The sequence below is a fragment of the Homo sapiens genome, chromosome 2 (assembly GCF_000001405.40).
Source record: "Homo sapiens chromosome 2, GRCh38.p14 Primary Assembly".
Taxonomy (NCBI): domain Eukaryota; kingdom Metazoa; phylum Chordata; class Mammalia; order Primates; family Hominidae; genus Homo; species Homo sapiens.
In genome coordinates, this window is record NC_000002.12 from 202,654,489 (window position 1) to 202,667,394 (window position 12,906).

At 39.2% G+C, this 12,906-nt stretch overlaps 1 protein-coding gene across 1 annotated transcript in view, besides 1 other annotated feature; it reads left to right on the forward strand.

Moving 5' to 3' along the window:
* The window catches only part of FAM117B (family with sequence similarity 117 member B), a 134,789-nt gene that overhangs the window by 19,520 nt on the left and 102,363 nt on the right, over positions 1 to 12,906 (forward strand). The gene's annotated exons all lie outside the window — the stretch shown is intronic.
* Positions 11,941 to 12,020: an enhancer, noted in NCBI's record as "active region_17003". NCBI's record gives its function as "activates an Ori minimal core promoter by ATAC-STARR-seq in GM12878 lymphoblastoid cells {active_cell/tissue: GM12878}" and the evidence as "EXISTENCE:reporter gene assay evidence [ECO:0000049][PMID:35858748]".

Below are 12,906 nucleotides of genomic sequence, written 5' to 3' on the forward strand. Positions count from 1 at the left end.
CTTCCCATTGGAAATTTTTTTTAATACTGGAAAATTGTGTATTTCTAGTAATGATATTATGTTGATTCATATACACATTGTCTGATACTCTTCTGTATCGATTAATAGTATACACATCTTACTGCATTTCAGGCTGTGTACAGTAAGAGGTAATAGAACAGTTTCCCCTTTGTAATCTTTTTTTTTTTTTTGCCCATATTGGAGTCAGACTTGCATCATACTGTATTTTTAAAAAGATTTGAAATGTGACCAATTTGTTAATAAGTCTGAACCCTCAAATAGGCGGCAAGAAAATATGGTATAATGTGTTGTTATAAATAAGATTGAATACTCTGTCAAATTTATAAACTTCTAGTGGGCATTTATTTCTTTTTCTCTTTACAAATTACTCTAGTAAAAACACCTTTATAAGTGTCTATTTGGGGCTGCTATGAGTATACGTTTATATATATATATATTCTCTTTAGAAAAAATGTGCCCCAAAACAAAACAGAAAAAGAAAAAGAAATGTCCCCAGGATTAAGATTATTTGTTAAGTTTTAAATAATTTAATGCTTTTTCTGGAGTAGATTTGGTTTTAAGAAGGAAAAATTATTTGGTTCCTATAGTTTTACTTTTTTCAGAATGTCATATGAATGAGTTGTAGCATTTTCTAGCTTCATTCACTTAGCATAGTGCATTTGAGATTCATTCATGTTATTGCATGTTTCAGTAGTCCATTTCTTTTTATTGCTGAGTAGTGTTGCATTATATGAATGTACGACACTTTGTTTATGCATTATTAGTTGAAGGGTATTGGGGAGTTTGTAGTTTTGGGTGATTATGAATAAAGGTGCTATAAACATTTGTATACAGGTTTTTTTGGTGAACCTTGTTTTTGTTTTCTTTGTTAAAAACCTAAGATTGGGGTTTCTGGGTCATACAGTAAGTGTATGTTTATAAGAAACTGCCAGTTTTCCAGTGTCTTTGGCTAATATTTTGTTGAGGATTTTTACATTTATATTCATGAGGTATATTGGTTTGTAGTGTTCTGTTCTTATAATGCCTTTGCTTGGTTTAGATATTGGGGGAAAGTTGGCTTTATAAAATGAGTTGAGAAGTGTTCCCTTCCTTATCTGTTTTTAGAAGAGGTTATGTAGCATTGATAGTATCTCTTCCTTGACTGCCAAAATTTCCCCAGTGAAATCATCTTGGCCTGGAGTGGGTGCGGGAAGAGAGTGAGAGAGAGAGAGAGAGAGAGAGAGAGAGAGAGAGAGAGAGAGAGAGAGAGAGAGTGTGTGTGTGTGTGTGTGTGTGTTGAAGACTAGTTTAGTGTGGTAATGAGAAGGGGAGAAAGAGTAGAACAGGGAGTTTGATCTGTAAGACAGTGAACAATCAATTGGGAGAACTCACTACCTTTGGAATGTTTTTGTTAGAAAAATTTTAACTATAAATTCAGCTTATTTAATAGATACAGGACTATTAGGTTATCTCTTTTTTGAGGAATGAGCTTTGGTAGATTGTGTCTTTCAAGGAATTGGTTTATTTGTGGACATGCAGTTGTGGTATTTCATTATTCATCTGTGGAGTTTGTAGTGGTGGCATCCTTTCGGTCATTCCTGATTTGAATATTTGTATATTTTCTCTTTGTTTGGTCAGAATGGCTAGAGAGGTTTATTATTTTTATAGGTCTTGTCAAAGAACCAGCTTTTAGTTTCATTTACTTTCTTTGTTATTTTTTCATTTCATTCATCTCTGCTCTCGTCTTTATTTTCTTCCTCCTACTTGCTTTTGGTTTAGTTTGCTCATTTTCTGGTTTCTCAGATGGAAGCTTACATTACTGATTTGAAATCTTCTTTTTCTAATAGAAACATTTAATGCCATACATTTTTCTCTAAGCAGTTGTTTAGCTGCATGTCACAAAGTTTGATATGTATTTTCATTTTAATTCAGTTCCAGGTATTTTCTAGTTTTCCTTGAGGCTTGTTCTTTGACCCACAGATTACTTAGAAGGGTTTTATTCAGTTTTTAAATATTTTGGGATTTTTCCAGATAGCTTTCTTGTATTGATTTTTAAATTTGATTTCATATCAGAGAGCATACCTTATTTTATTTCTTTTCTTCTAAATTTGTTGAGGTTTATGTCCCAGGATATGATCTACTTTGATAAATGTTTCACATGCCCTTGTGTATTGTGCTGTTGTTGGGTAGAGTGTTCTATAAATGTCACTTAGGTCAGATTGATTGATAGTGGTTTTCAGGTCTTACATATCTTTGCTGATTTTCTATTTGTTTTATCAGTTGCTCAGAAAGGAGTGTTGAATCTCCAAATATAGTGGAATTTTCTATTTCTTCTTTCAGTTGTTGCTTCATATATTTTGAAGCTTTAAAAAAAAGTCCATAAACATTTAGAATTGTTATATATTTTTTGGTGAATTGACCATTTTACTGTATAATTTCCCTCTATCCCTGGTAATTTTTCTTGTTCTTAAGTCTACTCTGATTAGAGTTTGCAAGATCTATTTTTACTATCCTTTCTATAATTCCATCCTTTGTTGTATTTAAAGGGATGTCTTATAGACAGCGTATTGTTGGCTCTTGTGTTTTTAATTTTAATTTTATTTTATTTATTTTTTTTGAGATAACAGTTTCCTCTGTCACCCAGGCTGGAGTGCAGTGGCATGATCTTGGCTCACTGCAACCTCCTCCTCTTGGGTTCAAGCAATTCTTGTGCCTCAGCCTCCTGAGTAGCTGGGACTACAGGGATGTGCCACCAGGCCCAGCTAGTTTTTGTAGTATTAGTAGAGATGGGGTTTCACCATGTTGACCAGGCTGGTCTCCAACTCCTGACCTCAGGTGATCTGCCTGCCTTGGCCTCCCAAAGTGCTGGGATTACAGGGGTGATCCACCATGCCCAGTAGGTCTTGTGTTTTTTAAATCTAGTCTGATGATCTTGTATGTTAATTGTTCTGTTGAGACCATTTACAGTTGTTGACATTATTGATATATTTGGATATAGGTGTGCTGTTTTTTTTTGGAGACAGGGTCTTGCTCTGTTGCCCATGCTGGAATGCAGTGGCACAATTATGGCTACGGTGGTAGCCTTGACTTCCCAGGCTCAGGTGATCTTCAAACCTTGGCTTCCTGAGTAGCTGAGACTATAGGCGCATGCCACCTCACCTGGCTAATTTAAAATTTTTTTAGAGATGGGTTTCACTGTGTTGCCTAAGCTGGTCTCGACCTCGTAGGCAAGTGATCCTCCTGCCTTGGCCTCTCAAAGTACTGGGATTATAGGTGTAAGCCACCTCACCTGGCCCCTTCTGCTTTTTGTTCCATAATCTCCCTTTTCCTACCTTTCAGATTGCTTGACTGTTGTCTTAGTAATTCATTTAATTTATGTATTTTTTTTGACTCTTTGTATGTTTTGTTTTGTTTTTGGTGGCTGCTATGGGGATTACAATATACATACCTAACTTTATATTTTACTTAGAGTTAATACTTTACTGCTTCAGGTGAAATGCAGAAATCACACAATCTATGTTTCTTTAGCCTCTTTACATTACAGTGATTCTATATGTTACATCTTTAAACATTGAAAACCACATACTCAGCATTATAATTTTTGCTTTCAACAGTCATACCTATTTTAATGAATTTAAGGGGAGAAAAATGTTTTATGTACAAGTATATTTATTACTTCATTTGCACTTCCTTTATTCCTGAAGTTAGTTTCCCTTTGGTATCATTTTCCTTCTGCTTGAAGATCTACATTTAGCATTTGTTTTAGAACAGGTCTGCTGCTGATGAATTATCTCAGTTTTCCTTCACCTAAGAATATCTTTTTTAAAAAAATTGAGACAGAATCTCACTCTGTCTTCCAGGCTGGAGTGCAGGGGCGTGATCTTGGCTCACTGCAGCCTCTGCCTCCTGGGTTCAGGTGATCCTCTTGCCTCAGCCTCCCAAGTCCTGGGACTACAGGCATGAGCCACCACACCTGGCTAATTTTATATTTTTAATAGAGACAGGGTTTCACCTTGTTGACCAGGCTGGTCTCGAACTCCTGACCTCAAGTGATCCACCCGTTTTGACCTCCCAAGGTGTTGGGATTACAGGTATGAGCCACTGTGCCCAGCCTAAGAATATCTTTACTGCAGGAAATTTTCACTAGATGTAGAATCCTGGGTTTATTGTTTTACTCTTTTAGCTCTTCAAAAATGTAGTTTGTTGTCTTCTGTGCTTTCTGATGAGACATCTATAATCACTGGAATCATTGTTTCTTTGTATGTAATGTGTTGTTTTTCACTGGCTCCTTTAGGAGTTTTTTTCTTTAATCTTTGATTTTTTTAGTAGTTTGATTATTTATGGGCATACATTTATCCTGTTCGTGTTCACTTAATTATTTATGTTTCTCATGAAATTTGGAAGGTTTTGTTTTGTCAAATATTTTTTTTCTGCTCCAGTTTTTTTCTTTTGTTCTTCTGGGACTTCACTGACATAACTTTTTGATATTCTCAGATCTCTGAGGCTCTTTCCTGTCTTTTTTATTTTTATTTTTTTGAGATGGAATATCTCTCTGTCTCCCAGGCTGGAGTGCAGTGGCATGTTCTGGCTCACTGCAACCTCTGCCTCCCGGGTTCAAGCGATTCTCCTACCTCAACCTCCCAAGTAGCTGGGATTACAGGCACGCACCACCACACCCAGCTAATTTTTGTATTTTAAGTAGAGACGGGGTTTCACTATGTTGCCCAGGCTGGTCTTGAACTCCTGATCTCAGGTGATCCACCTGTCTCGGCCTCCCAAACTGCTGGGATTACAGGCGTGAGCCACCACGCCTGGCCTTTTTGGTTTTTTGTTTCTTTTGAGACAGAATCTCGCTCTCTTGCCCAGGCTGGAATGCAAAAGTGTGATCTTAGTTCACTGCAGCCTCTACCTCCTGGGCTCAGGCGATCCTCCTACCTCATTCTCCTGAGTAGCTGGCATTATGGGCGCACATAATCCTGCCTGGCTAATTTTTGTATTTGTTTTGTAGAGATGGGTTTCACTGTGTTGCCCAGACTGGTGGCAAAGTCCTAGGCTCAAGCGATCCACCCCCCTTGGTCTCCCATAGTGCTGAGATTACAGACGTGAGCCACCGTGCTTTTTTTTTTTTTTTTTTTTTTTTTTTTTTGACGGAGTCTTGCCCTGTTGCCCAGGCTGGAGTGCAATGGTGCGATCTTGGCTCACTGCAACCTCCGCCTCCCGGGTTCAAACGATTCTCCTGCCTCAGCCTCCCAAGTAGCTGGGATTACAGGCACACACTACCATGCCCAGTTTTTTATTTTTATTTCATTTTTAGTAGAGATGGGGTTTTACCATGTTGGCCAGGCTGGTCTCAAACTCCTGACCTCGTGATCCACCCGCATCGGCCTCCCAAAGTGCTGGGATTACAGGTGTAAGCCACTGCGCCCGGCCACCACCGTGCTCATTTTTTCCCCCACCTTTTTTTCACTCTTGTTCAGACTGGATAATTTCTGTTGATCTATTTTTAGGCTTACTGTTTCTTTCTTCTGTCACATTCTGTTATTCAGTCCATTCAGTAATTTTTATTTTAGTTTTTTTAATCTAAAATTTTCATTTAGTTCTTTTTTATAGTTTCAATTTCTGTATGAAAATGTTTATCTTTTCATTAATTTCATGTGTATTTGCCCTTACTTCAGAAAGCATGATTATAATAGCTGCTTAATTTTTGACAATTCCAAAATCTGAGCCATCTTAGGGTTGGTGTCTCCTGCTTGTTTGTACATTTTGAATATTTTACTTGAGACTCTGAGTCCTATTTAAGGCACCTGGAAATGTTGAGTTTTTTCTTTTAGCAGGCAATCAGACTGGTTGGATTCATACTCCAAGTGTCATCTTACCTTCAGTGGGCTGTGGTTCTAATGTCAATTTACTTTTCACAGTCTTTGCAGTACTATTTGGGTCTGTCTTTTGTGTATGTACCTCCCAGGAGTCAGTTTGGGACCTGAGTGGTGGTCGGTATCTATATCTTAATTTAGGTCTGAAGATCTGTGTTATACTATTTTGGGTCAGTTCATACATGCACAGCCTTTAGGTGTGCCTGGAACTTCATACATGGATTTAGGAGTGTTCCTTTTTCAGCTCCCTGTTCTCCATGATTTATTTTCACACTCTGTTTCCCAGGAGATCTTGTCCTCATTCTCTGATGACAAAGCCAGGATTTTTAACCTCTCCACACTATCATGAACTTCCTACAACTGGATATGCCTCTAGACCAAGATGGTGACAGAGAGGAAGAAATAACCTGGTTTCTCTCTGCACTGTTCCAGTTACAGAGCCTCAGTTCCTCTGGTCAGAGGGAAGGATTCTCTCAGTTTTAGGTGCCTTTGTGGTCACTGCCGAAGCCATAGGAGTGCAGTTTTGTGACCAGTACTTGACTTGGGCTAGGGCCAGAAGAGTAAAAAAGAGAGAAAAAGAGCTGGGATTCCACCCATAGCCTTCATCCTGCAGGGCCCTCCTACCTAGTCCATTGGCCACAAAGAAAGTGTTTCTCCTGGACTTTTTCCTGCCCACTCCTACTGTGCAGTTCTAAGATTTGGGATGCCCTTGAATCTAATCCAGGACATATGGGAGGGGGAAAAACTCAGTGAATCACTTCCCTATCAGCTCTTCTAGTTTTTGTTTTGTTCCCAAATCTAGCTGCCATTATTTACTTTTTTGAATCCTCGGAGGACTCCATATATGCTGTCCGGGTTTTTAGTGATAATTGGTGCTAGAGATAGAAGTGTGTTAGTTCATCTTAGCCAGAACTGTAGGCATTTCCCACCCTTACTCCATCAACTTTTAATTTCAGATGCGTATTTGAAAGTCTGAGTACAGTATGAGAAATAGTAAAACTGTAAAAATAGGAAAACAATTATAGTAAAACTGTTAACTGTTACTGAGTACCTTCTATATTCCAACTATAATGCTAAGTGTTTTGAATATGTAATGTAATTCTTAAACTGCCTTTATAAAGTAGGTATATTACCATTTTAATATTGAGGTTAATTATTTGTGGTCAGATAGCTATTAAGTGGTGTAATGAGTGTATAAACCTGGGCCTTTACAGACTCCAGAGTCGCTCATCCACTTGCTGAGTCAGCTAACATTAAAAAATTATATTTTTAGGCCAGGTGCATTGGCTCACACCTGCAATCCTAGCTCTTTAGAAGGCTGAGGCAGGCAGATCACCTGAGGTCAAGAGTTCAAGACCAGCCTGGCCAACATGGCAAAACCCCGTCTCTCGTAAAAATACAAAAATTAGCCGGGCATGGTGGCGCGTGCCTGTAATCCCAGCTACTTGGGGGGCTGAGGCAGGAGAATAGCTTGAACCCGGGAGGCGGAGGTTGCAGTGAGCCGAGATCATGCCACTGCACTGCACTCCAGCCTGGGCAACAGAGCAAGATTCCATCTAAAAAAAAAAAAAAAAAAAGATCAACAATCCCACGATCCCAATACTGGGTAAGTATCCAAAGGAAATGAAATCAGTATGTCGAAGAGATACTTGCACTCCTGTGTTTATTGCAGAGCTATTCACAATAGCCAATAGCCAAGATAAGGAATTAACCTAAATGCCCAACCACAGGTGAGTGGATAAAGAAAATGTGAGGTAGGTGTGTGTGTGTGTGTGTGTATGTGTGTATGTGTGTGTGTGTACGTGTACAGACTGGTAGTATATAGAAATACCATTCAGCCATAAAACAGAATGAAATCTTGTCATTTGTGGCAGCATGGGTGAATCTGGAGGATATTATTATATTAAGTGAAATAATCCAGGCACAGAAATACAAACACCACATGATCTCACTCATGTGGAATCTAAAAAAATTCGTTTCATAGGAGTAGAGTAGAATATTGATTACCAGAGGCTGGAAGAGGAGGTGATAGAGGAGGAGGGGACTGGGAAAAGTCAGTCAACTGGTACAAAGTTGCAGTCAGGAGGAATAAGTTCTAGTGTTCTGTTGCACAGTAGGGTGACTATAGCTAATAGCAATGTAGTCAAGATAGCTAGAAGAGATTGTGAATGTTATCCTCACAAAGAAATGATAAATGTTGGCTGGGTGCAGTGGCTCACGCCTGTAATCCCAGCACTTTGGGTGGCTGAGGCGGGTGGATCACAAGGTCAAGAGATCGAGACCATCCTGGCCAACATGGTCAAACCCCGTCACTACTAAAAATACAAAAATTAGCTGGGCATGGTGGTGGTGCACGCCTGTAGTCCCAGCTACTTGGGAGGCTGAGGCAGGAGAATTGCTTGAACCCGGGAGGCGTAGGTTGCAGTGAGCCGAGATCATGCCACTACACTCTAGCCTGGCGATACAGTGAGACTCCATCTCAAAAGAAGAAGAAGAAAAAAAGAAATGATAAATGTTTAAAATGATGGATATAATTACCCTGATTTGATTATTATACAGTGTATTCATGCATTGAAACATCACACTCTTATCCTGTAAACATGTACGATTGTTAATTAGAAATAAAAAATTAAGAAATAACTATTTTTAGCTTCAGAATAATGAAGCGTTAGAAGCACTCTTTTTAAAATTATACATTCATAGTTTTATAACCTGCTCTTTCCACTTAAAATATTGGCAACAATTTCCATATCAATAGGTACACTTCTACAACATTTTAATTGCTATGTAGTATTCCATTGTGTGGATCTTCCACATTTATTATTGGGTAGTCTTTTGCTGTTATAAACAGTGCACAGAACGTTAATTTCCATTTGGTACTAGGTTGAGTTCCATTGTGGTTTGAATGTGATTGCAGAAATTGAACTTTTGAATTCTGACTGTGCACTTGTGCTGAAGATATTATGCTATGTGACTCAGCTGTGGGTAACTCTATAGTTAGTGAACTTTATTATAGGAAATAGTGTTATTGTGCTACATTTATATATAGAGAGTTTTACTGGTTTTTATTGAAAAGCGTGTATCTTTTTATTTAATGGCGAACATTACTTAATATGTTATAATCTTCTCTGAAATAATAGTATGTGTTTTATACATTTAGTACTTTGCTGGATTAAATTCATTACATCATTCACATTCGATATTCAGTCACATTAAGCCTTTTTTTTTTTTTTTCTTTTGAGACAGAGTCTCACTCTCCTTTCCCAGGCTGGAGTGCAGTGGCGCGATCTTGGCTCACTGCAACCTCTGCCTCCCAGGTTCAAGCGATTCTCCTGCCTCAGCCTCCTGAGTAACTGGGATTACAGGCACCCCCTGCCACACCCAGCTAAGTTTTGTATTTTTAGTGGAGACGGGGTTTCACTATGTTGGCCAGGCTGGTCTCAAACTCCTGACCTCTGGTGATCTGCCCACCTCGGCCTCCCAAAGTGTTGGGATTACAGGCGTGAGCCACTGCGCCCAGCCCCATTAAGCTTTTTATATACCAGATTTTGTTCAAAGGCTGCAGACCAAACCTTTCATTTTTGTTAACTGTCCTGTAAAGTATACTGATACAAGGTCTATGAGGTTAAAATATGTGGATGACACAGTGCAAACTCATTATTTCCAAAAAAAAGCATGTTGAACCACAGTTCCTATCAGTGAATCTAGAAAACTATTTTTATATGCAAATAATACATTCCAGTTCATTTATATACTTCTGTGCATTTTCACAAATAATAACTAATTATCCCATGATATCCCTCTTTAAGGGTGAGTGTCATTAGCTCCTGATGATTTGAGTACATTTAATTAGATATCTTTTCTGAAGTTATATTTAACTGAAAGAATATATTGACTCCAGAGGTTTTAAGCTGTTCTTTTCACTGCCATTTGTGTATATGGTAGGAAAAATGATAAAAATATTTGAAAGAATTAGCTTGGCAACATAGTAGAATAGCCTGGAATGTCTGAGAACTGCTCAGTGATTTGTGTGGCTAATAGTGCTAGGTAGAAGGCTTAGATTAGTCTTAGAATTGGCACAAGACGAGAATGAGACAACTGAGGCATTGGCCCTGGATACATGTTTTTGGTGTCTGCCAGAAAGCTTGGTAATTGAGATAAATAATATTTAAATAAAATGCTTCAAAATAAAAATTAATTTAACACAATTCAAAGAACTAATTATGAAAATTTTAAAGATAGGGTCCAACAGGGCAAAGATTAAGAGTCATGCAAGTACATGATTGAGTCCTGTTTAAAATTTTGATAGTTCGTTATCATGCATGACTTACCTTGAGTAATTTATCTATCTAGTAAGTTATTTTGCCCTCAGAACACGTGCCTCATTTGCCTTACCGTAGTAGTTTTGGCCTCGCTTATAAGAAGTCAGTCTGAAGGAATTACGGGTTTCTCTGTGGGTCAGTGTATTAGTTTTCTATTGATATGTGATAGATTGCCCCAAATATAGCAGCTTAAAACAATATCCGTTTATTATTTCACAGTTCTGTAGGTTGAAAGTTGGGGCGGGGAGGAGGCTCCACTGTGTTTTCTGCTCAGGGTCTCAAAAGCCAATATCAAGATCAAGCTGGGTTTGGCTTTTATCTGGAGACTTTGGTGGGGAAGAAGGTGCTTCCAAACTCATTCATGGAGTTGACAGAATCCAGTTCCTTGAGGTGATAGGACTGAGATGACTGCATTGTCGTGGACTGTTAGCTTTAGGGGTCACTCTCAGCTCTGAGGCGGCTCTCATATCTTTTCCACATGACCCTCTCAATTTTCTTTTTTCTTTTTTTTTTTTTGAGACAGAGTTTCGTATGCTGCCCAGCTGGAGTGCAGTGGTGTGATCTAAGCTTACTGCAACCTCTGCCTCCTGGGCTCAAGTGATCCTCCCACCTCAGCCTCCCAAAGTGCTGGGGTTATAGTTGGCCAACCCTCTCAATTTTCAAAGCCAGCAGTGGAATATCTCTCATATAGAATCTTTTTTACTTGCTCTTCTGCAGCCAGCCAAAGAAAACTTTCTATTTTTAAAGGGCACTTGTGATTAGATTGGGCCCTCCTGGATAATCTCCCCATTAATAACTCACTACTAACTGATTAGCAACCTTAATTTCATCTACAGAATCTCTCTTGGCACATGATGTAATCGTGGATGTGATATCTCGTTGTGTTTTCAGTCCTGGGGATTAGGACAGGAAATCCTCTTTTTGTTGTTGTTGTTGAGACAGAGTCTCACTCTATCACCCAGGCTGGAGTGCAGTGGTGCAATCTCGGCTCACTGCAACTTCTGCCTCCCAGATTCAAGCAATTCTCCTGCCTCAGCCTCCTGAGTAGCTGGGACTACAGGTGCATGCCACCATGCCTGGCTAATTTTTGTATTTTTAGTAGAGACAGGGTTTCACCATGTTGACCAGGCCGGTCTCGAACTCCTGACCTCGGGTGTTCTGCCTGCCTTGGCCTCCCAAAGTGCTGGGATTACAGGCGTGAGCCATGGAAACTGGCAGGACAGGAAATCTTGGGAGACCATTTTAAAATTCTGCCTACTGTAGTCAGCTAAGAAACTAATACAAACCATTCATCCTACTCACTGGTAGTGACTTATTGATATAAATATTACAAACACAAACAAATAGCTATAAATATGTATTATGGCAACATTTGTTATGACTAAAATTTGACAGAAGAAAACATTCATTCTGCAATTTGTGTCTGCATAGTTTGCTTAAATTGGGAATGGTATTGTTACAAAGCAAACCTTTTGATGATAGAGACTTTGTTGAGAAAATCTGATATAGTCAAAAGCAGATTGGGTCTTTATTATAAACTTTACATTAAAAACAATTGAAACGGAAGTTATGTTAGCAAAATAAACATGAAAATTGAAAAAAAATAGAAACAGTTTACCTATGGTTTTCAGAAAACTAATTTAAAAAATGTTGACTCATTGAAGTTTGCATTGGAAAAATACTTTGGTAAAATGTTTATTGGTGTTACACGTTCACAAACGCACACACATATGTACCATATGTACAGTCATAATTCTAGGTGAGGATGGCAGACAGAAGGCTTGAAGAGTCAGAGAAGTTCAGCCAGCCACATTTTTTTTTAAATTGTATCTGAGCATGTACTATGTATGTTTATATTTTGACACTGCTAGCTGGGTTTTCACTGGTGGGTGGGATGTGGGGGTATGTTACAGACAACTTTCACTTTCTACTGTATTCACTTCTGGTTTTTGACTATTTTGAAATAACATGTTTCGTTTCATTTCTTTTTTTTTTTTTTTTTTGAGACAGAGTCTCGCTCTGCTGCCCAGGCCAGAGTGCAGTGGCGCGATCTTGGCTCACTGCAACCTCTGCCTCCCGGGTTCAAGTGATTCTCCTGCCTCAGCCCGCTGAGTAGCTGGGACAGCTAATTTTTTGTAGTTTTAGTAGAGATAGGGTTTCACCGTGTTAGCCAGGATGGTCTCGATCTCCTGACCTCGTGATCCACCTGCCTCGGCCTCCCAAAGTGCTGGGAGTACAGGTGTGAGCCACCACGCCCGGCCAGTATGTTTCATTTCTATAATAAAAATGCAGATCGAAAATCTGTGTTGTAGCAGTGATTTAAAATAAAGTGAAATGATTTTTAAAGAGTTTAAAAATAGAGTAAAAATGTCGTAAAAACTGGGACTTGCTCCAGGCCTCTATTTGAGTTACTTTAGTAAATTTTTCTTTTTTTTGAGATGGAGTCTTGCTTTGTCGCCCAGGCTGGAGTGCAGTGGTGCGATCTTGGCTCACTGCAACCTCCGCCTCCTGGGTTCAAGCAGTTCTCCTGCCTCACCCTTCCGAGTAGCTGAGACTACAGGCACGTGCCACCATACCTGGCTAATTATCATATTTTTAATAGAGACGGGGTTTCACCATGTTGGCTAGGCTGGTCTCGAACACCTGACCTCAAGTGATCCACCCGCCTCGGCCTCCCAAAGTGGTGGGATTATTAGCATGAGCCACCACGC